This window comes from Homo sapiens, chromosome X (assembly GCF_000001405.40).
Source record: "Homo sapiens chromosome X, GRCh38.p14 Primary Assembly".
NCBI classification, from domain to species: Eukaryota; Metazoa; Chordata; class Mammalia; order Primates; family Hominidae; genus Homo; species Homo sapiens.
In genome coordinates, this window is record NC_000023.11 from 64,359,670 (window position 1) to 64,378,571 (window position 18,902).

Below are 18,902 nucleotides of genomic sequence, written 5' to 3' on the forward strand. Positions count from 1 at the left end.
TGATCTGTATTACCTTTTCTGAAATCAGTGCGGGAAAAACTATGAAAGTGAGAGGAAAACCCGTATTCTAGAAAAGATAAAAATTCTAGACAAAGTTTACAAGATGAGGTACGTATAACTGGAAAATATATAGAACCTGAGAGCCTGCTGAGGTACTTATCTTGTTGGAAGAAGGTGCAGTTATTGTATGTGTAAAAAAATCAGTAAGGGTAAATAACATGAAGATAGATCTTACGTTACAGGGCAAGAATAGAAAAAAAAAAAAAACAGAAAAAGAGAAAAACAAAACAAAAAAAAGGAGTACCATAAATAAAACACATAAAAAGAAATGCCAGAATTAAATCCCAATATAGAAGTAATTGCAATAAATGTACAAGAATTAAACTTACCAATTAAAAGAAAGACACAGACTAAAACAAAAGATTCAACAATATTCAGACTAGAAGAGATATACTTTAGAGTCACAAACTGAAAATAATAAGATATGCCAGGCAAATATGAACCAAAATAAAGCTGAGGTAGCAGTCTCAATATCTGACTAAATAGAATTTACGTGACAAAAATCAACAGGACAAGAAGATATAGCCATCATAAATATAAACATATTGTATAATACAGTCTCGAACTATATCAAGCAACTAGCAGAACTGCAAAGAGAAAAGGAACAAGTGCACATGGATATTTTAATACTCTTCTTAGGAACTAATAGGTCAAGCAGACCAAAAAAAAAAAAAAAAATCAAATGAAGATACGGAACACTTACACATTACAACTGAAAAACTCAAGCTATTATATACAGAGTAGGACTCTATATCCAACAAATAGAACATTCAAGACAACAAAAAAAAATTCCCAAAAAGAGACCATGATTACAGCTGTAAATGAAACATCAATAAATTCCAAACGTTCAATATCATACAGTTTAGGTTCTCCAACCACAATGCAATAGCACTAGAAATTAATAACAAAATAATAGCCAAAATGTAGCGTATGTTTGAAAACACAATAGCTTATTACTAAATTAACCTTGGGTTAAAAAGAAAAAGGAAAGGAAACTAAGAAATATTTAAAAGTGAACGATAATAAAAACACAACAAATAAAAATTTGAAGGACAGAGTTAAACAAGAACTAAGAAGTAAATGTATAGTAGTAAGTAAGTTTACCATGAAATGAGAAAGGTTAACAACATACTAGTTGAACAGTCAATGTAATGGAAATAAGCAAAAGAACAGAGAAATAAGATGATAAAGCACAGAAATTTAAAACCAGAGAATCCTCCTCCACAGATACACACACATAGCCTGAACAGAAAAGATTAACAAACCAGAATTTAATTATTTCAAAAGGTTAATAGGATAGATCTTTGCTAAAAAAGAGAAAAGATGCAAATAAACAAAATACAGAATGAAAAAGGGAAAATATAAAAAATTAAAACTATCACTATTATGAACAACAATATGCTAATAAATTGGAAAACTTATAAGAACTGTTTTTAAATATCAAGAAAAAAATAAAATGGCAATGGTAGTCAAAGATTTTCCCTAACAAAACCCTCAGGCCCAGATGATGTTATAGGTTTATTCTACTAAACTTCCAAAATATAATTAATTACTACCTTATCCAATTGATTCCAGTCACTGGAAAAAGAATAAAGTTACTCAGTCCATTTTATGAGGGCAATTTAATCTTGATTCTAAAATCAAATAAAGACAATTATAAAGTAAGAAAGTTTAGGGCTACTTCATTTATGAAATGTAGACACAAAAAATGCTAAATAATGTTAATGAATCAACAGTATATTTTAAAAAATACATTTTGATCAAGTGCAGTTTATCACAAGAAAGCATGGGGAGTTCAACATCAGAAAATGTCAACGTAATACATCACCAAGACTAAAAAGAAAAATCATATGCTTTATCTCAATTGATACAGAAAAAGAAGTATTTAATATAGCTTAATTCTATTTATAATGATAATCCTTAGTAAACAAGGAATAAAAGTAAACGATCTTAACTTGGTAAAAATTATATACAAAAAACCTACAAAGTATGTTATGAATAATGAAGAAACTAACTGCATTAATTTAAAATCATGAACACGACAAACTTGACTCTAACTATTACTGCTATTGTTTTAAATATCCTGGCTAAATACTATGAGGAAAGGGGGCGTGGAATTAAGAAATGCAAGGATCAGAAGGGAAGTTCTATATTTGGCACCACTTACAGAAGGTAATCATTCAACTAGAAAAAAATGAAAGAAAAGAATCAACCAAACTCTCAGAACTAATATAAAAGAGTTCAGCAAGGATACCAAATATAATATCAACCACAAAAGTCAATAACATTTTCCTATATCAGCAACGATCACTTAAAAAACATAATTAAAAAAATAACATTCACGATGGCAACAAAAATTATATAGAATCTAGAAATTAGCTTAATTAACCAAGTATACACAAGACCTTTACAGAGAAAACTTTAAAAGTCTAATGAAGGATATAGAATATAATCTAAAGAAATAATGTCTATGCTCTTGGATAGGCCAACTTAATATAATAAAGATGGCAATTATCCCTCAATCTATAAATTCAATACAATTTCAATCATATTTCAAAGTGGATTTTCTAATAAACTTATTCTAAATTTACATAGAAGAACAAAACCCCACAAATTGCTAAATCAACCTCAAAAAAAAGTAAAGGGGAAAGATTTGCTCTACTAGGTATTAAAACATACTCAAAGCTGTGGGGGAAAAAAATCAACAACAACAACAACAAAAAACCTCTAGTACTATTGCAGAAAAAAAAAAAAAAAAAAAAAAAAAAAAAAACAGAAAAATAAACCAATGGAAAAGGACCAGAGCTCAAAATCAGATTGATGTAAAAAATGGGAGTCTAATAGAGCATAAACATGGCACTACAAATTGACAGACAAAAGAGTATTTGCTAGATGTGTTGGGGAAACAGTATTAGTACATGCAGTAAGCTAAGGCCATATCCTTACCTAACACCATATACAAAACTAGACTCTAGATATATCTATATGTAACTCTTACATAAAATATAAAGTTACTGAAAAAATGCAGAGTACCTTGGATCTATGAACAGGGAAAGACTTTTTAAAAATTAATAAGAGAATAGGAGAACATATGTGCCACTCCTAAAACTAACAAGGAATTATTATCTAGAATATACAAGGGACTTTTGCAACTCAATAAGAAAAAGAGGCCCCAAAAGAAAAATATATGAAGCATAAGAACAGGCAAGTTGCATAAGAGGCAATCCCAGAAGCATATAACCATGAAGAGAAGCTCAAAACATTGGGAATAAAATAAAGTTAAATTAAAATAAGATATTGCTTTAAGACTACAAGATTTGCAAAAACTAGACAGCTAGAAGATGCCAAGTGTTGGTAGGGTTCAAGGCATATAGGAATCCTCATCCACTACAACCAGGGGGTTACAGATACGTGGGGACCATTCGGAAGGGCAATCTGGCACTACTTAATAAAAAAAAATGTATTTCCTATGACTCAGCAAATGTCCATCACTTTGAGAATAGTCAGGTAATACAGTTTGGATACTTGTCCCCACCCAAATCTCATGTTGAAATATAATGCCCAATGTTGGTGGTGGGGCCTGGTGGGAAGTGACTGGATCATGGGGGTGAATTCCTCATGAATGATTTAGCCCCATCCTTTCATGCTGTCCTCATGATAATGACTGAATTCTTGTGAGATCTGGTTGTCTAAAGGTGTGTGGCACTTTGCACTCTCTTGGTCCTGCTCCAAACATGTGAGATGCCTGCTTCTCACCTACAATTTATGCCATGATTGTAAGCTGTCTGAGGCCTACCCAGAGGCAGATGCCTGTGTTATGGTTTCTGCTCAGACTGCAGAACTGTGAGCCAATTAAACTTCTTTTCTTTAAAAATTACTCAGTCTCTTCTTTTCTAATATGGCCGAATAGGAACAGCTACAGTCTGCAGCTCCCAGCGTGACCGACGCAAAAGATAGTGATTTCTGCATTTCCAACTGAGGTACCTGGTTCATCTAATTGGGACTGGTTGGACAGTGGGTGCAGGCCATGGAGGGCAAGCTGAAGCAGGGTGGGGCATCGCCTAAACCAGGAAGTGCAAGGGGTGGGAGATTTCCATTTCCTAGCCAAGGGAAGACGTGACGGACTGTACCTGGAAAATCGGGACACTCCCTCCCAAATACTGTGCTTTTCCAACAGTATAAGCAAATGGCACACCAGGAGATTATATCCCGTGCCTAGCTCAGTGGGTCCCACGCCCACGGAGCCTTGCTCACTGCTAGCACAGCAGTCTGAGATTGACCTGCAAGGCAGCAGCCTGGCAGGGGGAGGGGTGTCCACCATTGCTGAGGCTTGAGTAGGTAAACAAAGCTGCCAGGAAGCTCGAACTGGGCAGAGCCCACTGCAACTCTGCAAGGCCTGCTGCCTCTCTAGAGCCCAACTCTGGGGCAGGGCATAGCTGAACAAAAGGCAGCAGAAACTGCTGCAGACTTAAATGTCCCTGTCTGACAGCTCTGAAGAGAGCAGTGGTTCTCCCAGCATGGTGTTTGAGCTCTGAGAAAGGACGGAATGCATCTTCAAGTGGGTTCCTGACCACTGTGTAGCCTAACTGGGAGACACCTCCCAGTAGGGGCCGAATGATACCTCATACAGGCGGGTGCCCCTCTGGAATGAAGCTTACAGAAGAAGGATCAGGCAGCAATATTTGCTGCTCTGCAATATTTGCTGTTCTGCAGCCTCCACTGGTGATACCCAGGCAAACAGGGTCTGGAGTGGACCGCCAGCAAACTCCAACAGACCTGCAGCTGAGGGACCTGACTATTAGAAGGAAAAGTAACAAACAGAAAGGAATAGCATCATCATCAACAAAAAGGACGTCCACACCAAAATCCCATCTGTACGTAACCAGCATCAAAGACCAAAGGTAGATAAAACCACAAAGATGGGGAGAAACCAGAGCAGAAAAGCTAAAAATTCTAAAAACCAGAGCGCCTCTTCTCCTCCAAAGGACTGCAGCTCCTCACCAGCAACGGAACAAAGCTAGATGAAGAATGGCTTTCACAAGCTGACAGAAGTAGGCATCAGAAGGTCAGTAATAAACTTCTACGAGCTAAAGAAGGATGTTCGAACCCATCGCAAGAAAGCTAAAAACCTTGAAAAAAGATTAGACGAATGGCTAACTAGAATAAACAGTGTAGAGAAGACCTTAAATGACCCGATGGAGCTGAAAACCATGGCACGAGAACTTCATGATGCATGCACAAGCTTCAATAGCCGATTCGATCAAGTGGAAGAAAGGGTATCAGTGACTGAAAACCAAATTGATGAAATAAAGTGAGAAGAGAAGTTTAGAGACAAAAGAGTAAAAAGAAAGAAAAAGCCTCCAAGAAATATGGGATTATGTGAAAAGACCAAATCTACATTTGATTGGTGTGCCTGAAAGTGACGGGGAGAATGGAACCAAGTTGGAAAACACTTTTCAGGATACTATCCAAGGGAAAGTCCCCAACCTAGCAAGGGAGGCCAACATTCAAATTCAGGAAACACAGAGAACACAACAAAGATACTCCTCGAGAAGAACACCACCAAGACACATAATTGTCAGATTCACCAAGCTCTACATGAAGGAAAAAATGTTAAGGGCAGCCAGAGAGAAAGGTCATGTTACACACAAAGGGAAGCCCACCAGACTAACAGCGGATCTCTCAGCAGAAATTCTACAAGCCAGAAGAGAGTAGGGGGCAATATTCAACATTCTTAAAGAAAAGAATTTTCAACCCAGAATTTCATGTCCAGCCAAACTAAGCTTCATAAGTGAAGGAGAAATAAAATCCTTTACAGACAAGCAAATGTTGAGAGATTTTGTCACCACCAGGCTTGCCTTACAAGGGCTCCTGAAGGAAGCACTAAACATGGAAAGGAACAACCATTACCAGCCACTGCAAAAACAGGCTAAATTGTAAAGATCATCGAGGCTAGGAAGAAACTGCATCAACTACCAAGCAAAATGACCAGCTAACATCATAATGACAGGATCAAATTCACACATAACAATATTAACCTTAAATGTAAATGGGCTAAACACCCCAATTAAAAGACACAGACTGGCAAATTGGATAGAGTCCAAGACCCATCAGTGTGCTGTATTCAGGAGAGCCATCTCACATGCAGAGACACACATAGGCTCAAAATAAAGGGATGGAGGAAGATCTACCAAGAAAATGGAAAGCAAAAAAAAGCAGGGGTTACAATCCTAGTCTCTGATAAAACAGACTTTAAACCAACAAAGATCAAAAGAGACAAAGAAGGCCATTACATAATGGTAAAGGGATAAATTCAACAAGAAGAACTATCTTAAATATATATGCACCCAATACGGGAACACCCAGATTCATAAAGCAAGTACTTAGAGAACAACAAAGACACTTAGACTCGCACACAATAATGATGGGAGACTTTAACACCCTACTGTCACTATCAGACAGATCAACGAGACAGAAGGTTAAAAAGGATATCCAGGACTTGAACTCAGGTTGGCACCAAGCAGACCTAACAGACATCTACAGCACTATCCACCCCAAATCAACAGAATATACATTCTTCTCAGCACTACATCGCACTTATTCCAAAATTGACCACATAGTTGGAAGTAAAGCACTCCTCAGAAAATATAAAAGAACAGAAATCACAACAAACTGTCTCTCAGACCACAGTGCAATCAAATTAGAACTCAGGGTTAAGAAACTCACTCAAAACCACTCAACTACATGGAAGCTGAACAACCTGCTCCTGAATGACTACTGGGTATATAACAAAATGAAGGCAGAAATAAAGATGTTCTTTGAAACCAATGAGAACAAACACACAATGTAACAGAATCTCTGGGACACATTTAAAGCAGTGTGTAGAGGGAAATGTACAGCACTAAATGCCCACAAGAGAAAGCAGGACGGATCTAAATTTGACACCCTAACATCACAATTAAAAGAACTAGAGAAGCAAGAGCAAACACATTCAAAAGCTAGCAGAAGGCAAGAAATAATTAAGATCAGAGCAGAACCGAAGGAGATAGAGACAAAAAAAACTTCAAAAAAATCAATGAATCCAGGAGCTGGGTTTTTGAAAAGATCAACAAAATTGATAGACCACTAGCAAGACTAATAAAGAAGAAGAGAGAAGAATCAAATAGATGCAATAAAAAATGATAAAGGTGATATCACCATCGATCCCACAGAAATAGAAACTAACTACCATCAGAGAATACTATAAACACCTCTACACAAATAAACTAGAAAATCTAGAAGAAATGGAAAAATTCCTGGGCACATACACCCTCCCAAGACTAAACTAGGAAGAAGTTGAATCTCTGAATAGACCAATAACAAGCTCTGAAATTGAGGCAATAATTAATAGCCTATCAACCAAAAAAAAGTCCAGGACCAGACAGATTCATAGCCGAATTCTACCAGAGGTAAAAAGAGGAGCTGGCACCATCCTTTCTGAAACTATTCAAATCAATAGAAAAAGAGGGAATCCTCCCTAACTCATTTTATGAGGCCAGCATCATCCTGATAACAAAGCCGGGCAGAGACACAACAAAAAAAGAGAATTTTAGACCAATATCCCTGATGAACATCGATGCCAAAATCCTCAATAAAATACTGGCAAACCGTATTCAGCAGCACATCAAAAACCTTATCCACCATGATCAATTTGGCTTCATCCCTGGGATGCAAGGCTGGTTCAACATATGCAAATCAATAAACTTAATCCATCACATAAACAGAACCAACGACAAAAACCACATGATTATCTCAATAGATGCAGAAAAGGCCTTTGACAAAATTCAACAGCCCTTCATGCTAAAAACTCCCAATAAATTAGGTATTGATGGAACGTATCTCAAAATAATAAGAGCTATTTATGACAAACCCACAGCCAATATCATACTGAATGGGCAAAAACTGGAAGCATTCCCTTTGAAAACTGGCACAACACAGGGATGCCCTCTCTCACCACTCCTATTCAACATAGTATTGGAAGTTCTGGCCAGGGCAATCAGGCAAGAGAAAGAAATAAAGGGTATTCAATTAGGAAAAGAGGAAGTCAAATTGTCCCTGTTTGCAGATGACATGATTGTATATCTAGAAAACCCCATTGTCTCAGCCCAAAATCTCATTAAGCTGATAGGCAACTTCAGCAAGGTCTCAGGATACAAAATCAATGTGCAAAAATCACAAGCATTCCTATACATCAATAACAGACAGAGAGCCAAATCATGAGTGAACTCACATTCATAAATGCTACAAAGAGAATAAAATACTTAGGAATCAAACTTACAAGGGATGTGAAGGACCTCTTCATTGACAACTACAAACTACTGCTCAACAAAATAAAAGAGGACACAAACAAATGGAAGAACATTCCATGCTCATGGGTAGGAAGAATCAATATCGTGAAAATGGCCATACTGCCCAAGGTAATTTATACATTCAATGCCATCCCCATCAAGATACCAATTACTTTCTTCACAGAATTGGAAAAAAAACTACTGTAAAGTTCATACGGAATCAAAAAAGAGCCCGCATTGCCAAGACAATCGTAAGCAGAAAGAACAAAGCTGGAGGGGTCACACTACCTGACTTCAAACTATACTTCAAGGCTATAGTAACCAAAACAGCATGGTACTGGTACCAAAACAGAGAGACAGACTAATGGAACAGAACAGAGGCCTCAGGAATAACACCACACATCTAGAACCATCTGATCTTTGACAAACCTGACAAAAACAAGAAATGGGGAAATAATTCCCTATTTAATAAATGGTTCTGGGAAAACTGGCTAGCCATATGTAGAAAGCTGAAACTGGATCCCTTCCTTACACCTTATACAAAAATTAATTCAAGATGGATTAAAGACTTAAATGTTAGACCTAAAGCCATAAAAACCCTAGAAGAAAACCTAGGCAATACCATTCAGGACATAGGCATGGGCAAGGACTTCAGGACTAAATCACCAAAAGCAATGGCAATGAAAGCCAAAATATACAAATGGAATCTAATTAAACTAAAGAGCTTCTGCAATGCAAAAGAAACTACCATCAGAGTGAACAGGCAACCTACAGAATTGGAGAAAATTTTTGCAATCTACCCATCTGACAAAGGGCTAATATCCAGAATCTACAAATAATTTAAACAAAATTACAAGAAAAAGTCAAACAACCCCATCAAAAAGTTGGTGAAGGATATGAACAGACACTTCTCAAAAGAAGACATTTATGCAGTCTAAAGACACATGAAAAATTGCTCATCATCACTGGTCATCAAAGAAATGCAAATCGTTTTAAACCACAATGAGATACCATCTCACACCAGTTAGAATGGTTATCATTAAAAAGTCAGGAAACCACAGATGCTGTAGAGGATGTGGAGAAATAGGAATGCCTTTACACTGTTGATGGGAGTGTAAACTAGTTCAACCACTGTGGAAGACAGTGTGGCAATTCCTCAAGGATCTAGAACTAGAAATACCATTTGACCCAGCAATCCCATTACTGGCTATATACCCAAAGGATTATAAATCATGCTACTATAAAGACACATGCACATGTGTGTTTATTGCGGCACTATTCACAATAGCAAAAGCTTGGAACCAACCCAGATGTCCATCAATGATAGACGGGATTAAGAAAATGTGGCACATATACACCATGGAATACTATGCAGCCATAAAAACGGCTGAGTTCATGTCCTTTGCAGGGACATGGATGAAGCTGGAAACCATCATTCTCAGCAAACTATCACAAGGACAGAAAACCAAACACTGCATGTTCTCACTCACAGGTGGGAATTGAACAATGAGAACACTTGGACACAGTGCAGTGAGCATCACACATGGGGGCCTATCATGGAGGAGGGGGCAGGGGAAGCGATAGCATTAGGAGAAATACCTAATGTAAATGATGAGTTGATGGGTGCAGCAAACCAACATGGCACATGTATACCTATGTAACAAACCTGCACATTGTCCACATGTACCCTAGAACTTAAAGTATAATTTTAAAAAAAAATTATCCAGTCTCAGGTATTTCTTTATTGAAATGCAAGAACAGGCCTGTTCAGGTCAAATGTGATGGGATATTATGCAGCTATTAGAAGCAATGGGTTAGATGTACATACAGCAATATAAATATGACAGGGAAAAAAGTAAGAGAATGATATACAGAAGGCATCACTATATAAACTAAAATTTCATGTGTATAAAACAACTATCATGTTTTGAAAGATGCATTCTAATACAAATCACATTAATCATATTAGAATGCTTGCCTGAGATGGGGGAGTGGAATGGGAAAAAAATGGGCTAAGTAATTAAATAAAAACAAGAGGTAGCTTTTCATGGACCAATGATGATAAGTACCAAGAATTGAGGAGCACATTATGAACTCAATGCAATACACCTGAGGTTAGAAAAATAGAACAAAACAAACTAAAAAGCCATCTTTCCTTTTCAGAAACATGAGAAATAATCTTAGATATTTAAATGGTGTTGTATGATGTTGGCCTCTTTAACTCATAGGTGAATGAGTGGTTCAGAACCCCTGCTTCTAACATGTATATTCATACCCTTAGATGTCATAATTTTCATTTACAAAATGAAAATTTTCATTTATAAAAAAAAAAAGGAAAGGCGAGATGCTTGTGAACATAAAATCCCTAGCCCAATGATCTTTTCATTCACATGTTCTCTTGTTGACATCCATGAGTCATTAGCCCAAAGTCTGCCAGTGTGACAAATTATGTAGGCAAATTACATATAGCTAAAAGGGATAACACAAAAATGGTATCACCTTTTTCCCTGAAGGCATTTAAGAAAAGGATATTCATTTATCTACTGAGGCCTTGATACTTTCTCTTATATAGTCATGCACCACATAACAACATTTCAGTCAACAACGTACCACAAATACAATGGTGGTGGGAGCAATAGGCTATATACCACATAGCCTAGGTGTGTAGTAGGTTTGTGTAAGTACACTCTATGTTGTTCACACAATGACAAAATTGCCTAGTGAGGCACTTCTCAGAACATATCCCCATGGTAAAGTGATGCATGACTGTAACTCTAAATGTGCTCTAATTAGGGATCCTCAATATCCAAGACAGACCAGGTATGGTGGATCAAACCTGTAATCCCAGCACTTTGGGAAGCCAAGGTGGGAGGATTGCTTGAGCCCAGGAGTTCAACACTATCCTGGGCAACATAGCAAGAACTCGTCTCTACAAAAAACAATAAAAATAATTAGCCAGACATGGTGGTGCATGCCTGTAATCCCAGCTACTTGGGAGGCTGAATCAGAAGGATCACTTGAACTCAGGAGTTTGAGGCTGCGATTGCACCATGACACTCCACACCAGCCTAAGTGAGACAGCAAGTCCCTAGCTCAATCAATTAACAAATCAATCAGTATCAAAAATGTTCTCCTTATTAATCTTGTAAAGTATAAATAGCTTATTTACATTTATAAGAAAAGCATTACAAGCTCAACAGATGAAGTAGCCAAAGAACATGAACAGATAATTCACATAAGAGAAAATAAAAATGTGATGAGTTAAATTTCACTAGTAATGACAGAAATGCTAATTTTAAATGACATGGAGCTACTATTTTATACGTATTAAATTTGAAAAACATCAAATACTAGCATGGTTGTGGTAAAACTGGTATGCTTATACAGTGCTGATTGCAATGCTATATCACGTTTAGAAAGCAATATGGAAAAACTGTCAAGAACATATAAGTATAAACCAGTATCCTTTGACCCAATACCCTACTGTTAGAAGTTTATCCTCAGAAATGTATCTTTATACATAGCTGATTGCAATGCTATATCACTTTTAGAAAGCAATATGGAAAAACTGTCAAGAACATATAAGTATGAACCAGTATCTTTTGACCCAATATCCCTACACTTAGAAGTTTATCCTCAGAAAATCAAATTTATACACATGAGAATATTCCCTGAGATTCTGCCAATAATAGGAGAAAACTAGAAATACCTGTATGTCCAATAATAGGGGAAAGGATTAGGTAAATTTAAGAACATTATATTAAAATGGACTATTAAGTAGATAAATAATACTATGGTTCCTAGGTAGGTGCCTTTCACATATTAAGTGTACAAAAATTAACTAGATCTGAAATTTGGTGCCATTAAAAATTTTTCCAGAACTGTATAAAAATATTTAACATAATAAATTTAAAAGTTAAGTAAAAATATTATAAATATGTTAAACAATGTAGGTATGCATACCTACATACCTACATTGATGAGAACATAGATGAGAACATAATGGAATGAAAACGGTAGCCTAAATTTAGAATGACAGGATTTGGGGTAATCCTTAATGTTAAGATTTTTTAAACTTTTTTATTATTAAATAATTATAGATTCATAGGAAATTGCAAAAAAAAAAAAATTACAGGAAGTTCCCAAGGACCTTTTGCCCAGTCTCTCAAAATTTAACATCTTACAATAACTATATTATGTCATCAAAACCAGGAAAATGATATTGGTACAATCCACAGATCTTATTTGGATTATACCCATTATATATGTAGTTATACATGTATACCAGGTAACAGTTATAAATTGTGTGTGTGTATGGCTATATGCAATTATATCACACGTATAGCTTTGTGTAACTATCAGCACAATCATGATACATACATACATACCACAAAACTCCCTTCTGCTATTTCTTTAGAGTCACACCCATCCCTTCTCCATCGAGCCCTTGGCAAACACTAATCTGTTCTTCATCTCTACAATTAATTCTTAAAGAATATTATATAAACAGAACCATTCAGTATGTAACCTTTTGAGATTGGCCTTATTCACCCAGCATAATTCTCTTAAGATTCATCCAGGTGTTTGCCTATATCAATAGTTTACCTCTTTTCATTGATTAACAGTATTGCAACTGTATGGATATATCATAAGTTATCTAACCATTTACTCACTGAAGGGACATATGGGTAGTTTCCAGTTTGGGGCTATTATGAATAAAGCTGCTATGAACATAGTACACAAGTTTCTGCATGAAAATAGGTTTTCATTTCTCTGGGATAAATGGCCAAGAGTGCAATTTCTGTAATATTTTTTAATGACAAATTAAAATTCATATGTATGCACTTAAAGGAAAAGAGTACTTCATTGTCAGACAAATAACTCTGACAGGGCTGGGCCAATCAATCCACAGACCCCAATAACACCAATCTAGGAAGTATGTCCAAGCCAAAAGTGGGAACAAAGAGAGATGATAAACACTGTGCTATACTCTACATGTTATCTCATTTAATCCTCATAATAACTATTTAAGATAGGTGATATTGTTAATTCCATTTCATATATGTGGAAATTGGGTCTCAGAGAGGTAAATTAACTTATCGAAGACCACATGGGTGGTTAAGTGGTGAGGTAAAGGCAGGCAGTGAGAAGCAAGAACCCAAACTCTTAACCATTTGATATGGTTTGGATTTGTGTCCTTTCCCAAATCCTATGTTGAATTGTAATCCCCAATGTTAAAGGAGGGGCCCAGTGGGAGGTGATTAGATCACGAGGGCAGATTTCCCCCTGGCTGTTCTCATGATAGTGAGTTCTCATGAGATCTGGTTGTTTAAAAGTGTGTAGCACATCCCTCTCTCTCCCTCTCTCCTGCTCCAGCCATTTGAAAATAAACCTGCTTCCCCTTCACCTTCTGCCATGACTGAAAATTTCCTGAGGCCTCTTCAGCCATACTACTCATACAGCTTGCAGAACTATGAGTCAATTAAACCTCTTTTCTTTAGAAACTACCCAATCTTCAGTTATTTCTTTATAGCAGTGTGAGAATGAACTAATACACCATTATACTATACTGCCACAGACTTATTAACCGTGTGTGGTTGGGGAGAGGAAGGGAACTGAAAAAACCTCCCACCCCTATGGCCCACCCTCTAAAAGAGGAAAGGTAACAAAAATGTAGTCAAAGCATGGAGGCTAGGGGAAGATGCCAAGATACCCCAATCTAAGCACACCACATTCTCTTTGGGCAGGGACAGATTAGAAGAGACAAGGCAGTAATAATGGGAACTTCCTGCCAAAGTAACTGTATCTGAAGAATACTGATCTTGTAGTAAGATGGTACAGCACTGGGCTCAAAGAAAAAAAGCCAAATGGACTCAGGAAGTTTTCTTTCAGCCAGATATCTTGATGTTCACTCTACCACAGAGCCAGACAACAGCAAAAATACAAACAACTAAAGCTAGATTTAATTCAGTAATTCTTTTTTGAATGCCTACTATGTACCAGATTCTGTGCTAAACCATCCCATGGGAAATAAAAGTAGAATGTATGAGACATTATAAATTATAAACTCCCAGGAGTTTATAATTTGTTGAAGAATGCAAACATGAACCCAACTCAATGCAACATAACAAAAGACATCCTGTGGTAAATGCCAAAACAGGTGCATGAGCAGAGCACTAGGGCAACCAGAGGTCCAAGTTTCAGAAAGATTCCCCTGGGAGACACCTAGAACTGAATATTCAAAGGTATTCTTTCTTTAATTCAAGATTCTGTAGTATCTACTATTTTCAGACTATGGAGTTAGGCATTTTAAGGGAAAATGAAATAAACAAGGCATGATCCCTCCCGACAACCATCCATTTAACAAACATTCATTGAGAATCTACTATATGCCAGGCACTGTGTCAAATGTTATAGAATTAAAGATGTCTAAGCACGCTCTTTATCCTAAAGGACTAACAGAGTTAGTGCTCACAAATCAGGCAAGGAAGTACCATCAGTATTTAGGAAACAGAATAAGGATTGTACTCAGCCAAGAGTGGAATAAAAGTAGTTAAAGAGAAGTGAAAAAGGTTGCTGAACACCTATAGTAGGTTGAATGGCAGCCTCCTGAAAGACAGGTCTTCTTTCTAATACCTGGACCCTGTGAATGTTACCCTATTTGGAAAAGGGGTCTTTGCAGATATAAGTAAGTTAAAGATCTAAGATGAAATCATCCAGGACTGCCAAGGTGGGCTGCAAATCCAGTGATAAGTGTCCTTATAACAGACAGAGAGGAGACGGCACACAGAGAAGGATATGTGAAATGGAGGCAGAGATTGGAGCGATGGATATAGCCACCAGGAATGCTGACAGCTACCAGAAATTGGAAGATGCAATAAGGAAGGATTCTCCCTTAAAGCCTCCAGAGAGAGGGCAACCCTGCCAACATGTGAATTTCAGACTTCTGGGCTCCTGAATGGTGAGGGAATAAATTTCTATTGTTTTAAGCAAAAAAAAAAAAAAAAAAAAGTGAAGGAAGGGCCAGCTGTGGTGGCTCACACTTGTAATCCCAGCACTTTTGGGAGGCCAAGGCAGGAGAATCATTTGAGCCCAGGAGTTTGAGACCAGCCTGGGAAACACAGCAAAACCCCATCTCTACAAAACTTAGCCAGGCATGCTGGTGGGTGCCTGTAGTCCCCGCTACTCAGGAGACTGAGGAGGTGGGAGGATTGCCTGAGCTTGGGAGGCAGAGACTGCAGTGAGCTGAGAGCACACTACTGCACTCCACCCTGGGTGACAGAGAGAGACTGTCTCAATAGAAAAAAAAAAAAGTAAAGGGATGGAGAAAGATATACCATGCTTACACTAATCAAAATAAGTTGAAGTACATATATTAATATAAGACATAAAAGACTTCAGAGCAAGGAAAGTTATCAGGAATGAAGAGAGGTGGAATGGTCTGAATGCTGGTGTCCCTCAAAAATTCATATGTTGAAATCTAACCCCTGCCAATGCAATAGTATTAACAGGTGGGGTATTTAGGTGGTGATTAGCTCATGAGGGTTCTCTGCTCATAAATGGGATTAGTGCTCTTATGAAAGAGGCTTAAAGGAGCTGTTTGCCCCTTCTGCCATGTGAGGAGGCAGCAAAAAGACCACTGTCTATGAACCAGGAAGTAGGCCCTCTCCAGATACCAAATCTGCATGCATCTTATCTTGGACTTCACATCCTCCAGAACTGTGAGCAATAAATTCTATTGTCTCACTGAGCGATATGGTTTGGCTCTGTGTCCCCACCCAAATCTCATGTTGAATTGTAATCCTCAGTGGTGGAGGACAGGCCTGGTGGGAGGTGACTGGATCATGAGGGTGGACTTCCCCCTTGCTGTTCTCATGATAGTGAGTGAGTTCTCACACGATCTGGTTGTTTAAAAGTGTGTAGCACTTCCCCTTCACTCTTTCCTGTTCCACCATGTGAAGATGTGCCTACTTCCCCTTTGCTTCCACCATTATTGTAAGTTTCCTGAGGCTTCTCCAGCCATGCTTCTTGTACAGCCTGCAGAGCTGTGAGTCAATTAAACCTCTTTTCTTCATAAATTACCCAGTCCCAGGTAGTTCTTATAGCAATGCAAGAACAGACTAATACAGAAAATTGGTACCAGAAAAGAAGAACATTGCTAAAAAGATACCTGAAAATGTGGAAGCAGCTTTGAAACTGGGTAATAGGCTTTGGGTGGAAAAGTTTGGATGGCTCACAAGAAGACAGGAAGATAAAAGTTTGGAACTTCCTAGAGTTGTTGAATGGTCGTGACCAAAATGTTGATAGTGATATGGACAATAAAGTCCAGGCTGAGGTGGTCTCAGATGGAGATGAGGAACCTATTGGGAACTGGAGTAAAAGTCACTCTTGCTATGCTTTAGCAAAGAGATTAGTGGCATTGTGCCCCTGCTCTAGGGATCTGTGGAACTCTGAACTTGAGAGTGATGATTGAGGGTATGTGGCGGAATAAATTTCTAAGCAGCAAAGTGTTCAAGATGTGCCCTGGCTGCCTCTAACAGCATACGCTCATATATGTGAGCAAAGAGATAATCTGAAACTCTAACTTATATTTAAAAGAGAAGCACAGCATAAAAGTTTAGAAAACTTGCAGCCTGGTCATGTGGTAGAAGAGAAAACCCATTTTCAGGGGAGGAATTCAAACTGGATGCAGAAATTTGCATAAGTAAGGAAGAGCCAGATGTTAATAGCCAAAACAATGGAGAAAATACCTCAAAGGCATTTCAGAGACCTTCACAGCAGCCCCTCCCATCACAGGCCCGGAGGCCCAGGAGTGAATCAAGGTTTTGTGGTCTGGGCCCAGGGCCCTGCTGCCATACACAGCCTCGGGACACTGCTGTGTCCCAGCCACTCCAGCTCCAGCCATGGCTAAAAGAACCCCAGATACGTCTCAGGATGCTGCTCCAGAGAGTGCAAGCTACAAGCCTTGGCAGCTTCCACATGGTGTTAAGCCTGCAGGTGCTCAAAGGGCAAGAGTTGAGGCCTAGGAGCCTCCACCTAGATTTCAGAGGATGTAGGGAGATGCCTGGATGTCCAGGCAGAAGTCTGCTACAGAGCTAGAGCCTTCATGAAGAACCTCTACTAGGGTAGTGTGGAAGGGAAATGTGGGATTGGAGCCCTCACAAAGAGTTTCCACTGGGGCACTGCCTAGTGGAGCTGTGAGAAGAGGGCCACCATCCTCCAGACCCCAGAATGGTAGATCCACCCACAGCTTGCACTGTGCACCTGGAAAAGATCCACCCACAGCAAGCACTCTACACCAGTCTGTGAAAGCAGCCAAGAGGGCTGTACCCTGCAGAGCCAAAAGGCAAAATGCCCAAGGTCTTCTGAGCCCACCCCTTGCATCACTGTGGCCTGGATGTGAGACATACAGTCAAAGGAGATTATTTTGGAGCTTTAATATTTAATGACTACGCTGCTGGGTTTCAAACTTGCATGGTGCCTCTTTGTTTTGGCCAATATATCCCCTTTGGAATGGGAATATTTACCCAATGCCTGTACCTCTATTGTATCTGGAAGTAACTAACTTGTTTTTTATTTTACAGGCTCATAAGCACAAGGGATGTGTCTTGTCTCAGATGAGACTTTGGACTTGAACTTTTGAATTAATGCTAGAATGAGTTAAGACTCTGGGGAACTGTTAAAAAGGCATGACTGTTTTGAAATGTGAGAAGGACATAAGATTTGGGACGGGCCAGGGTGGAATGATATGGTCTGGCTCTATGTCCCCACCCAAATATCATGTCGAACTGTAATCCCCAATGTTTGAAGAAGGGCTTGGTGAGGGTAATTGGATCATGGGGCAGACTTCCCCCTTGCTGTTCTCATGACAGTGAATTATCACGAGATCTCATTGTTTAAAAGTGTGTAGCACTTCCCCTTTTGCTCTGTCTCTCTCTTACTCTGCCATGTGAAGATGTGCTTGCTTCCCCTTCACCTTCTGCCATGACTGTAAATTTCCTGAGTCCTTCCCAGCCATGTTTCTTGTACAGCCTGTGGATCTGTGAGTCAATTAAACTTCTTTTCTTCATAAATTATGCAGTTTCAGGTAGTTCCTTACAGCAATGCAAGAAAAAACTAATACACTAAATCTATAGTATTTTTGTTATAGCAGCCTGAACAGACTAAAACAAGAAGAAATACATAAAAATAGAGGGGTCAGTTCTCTAAGAACATATTTTTTAATATGATCATGGCTCATTGCAGCCTCAACCTCCTGGACTCCAGTGATTCTCCCATCTCAACCTCCCAAGTAGCTGGGATTACAGGCATAAATCACCATGCCAACATAATTTTTTAACTTTTTGTAGAGAAAAGTTCTTACTATGTTTCCCAGGCTGGTCTCAAACTCCCCGCCTCAAACGATCCTCCTGCCTTGGCCTCCCAAAATGCTAGGGTCTCAGGCATGAGCCACTGTGACCAGCCTGACACTTGAATGTAACAACACAGTTCTAAATAGCACATGGATCAAACAAG

At 38.4% G+C, this 18,902-nt stretch overlaps 1 protein-coding gene across 1 annotated transcript in view; it reads right to left on the reverse strand.

Moving 5' to 3' along the window:
• Positions 1-18,902, reverse strand: part of MTMR8 (myotubularin related protein 8) — a 127,372-nt gene that overhangs the window by 91,589 nt on the left and 16,881 nt on the right. The window lies entirely within an intron of this gene.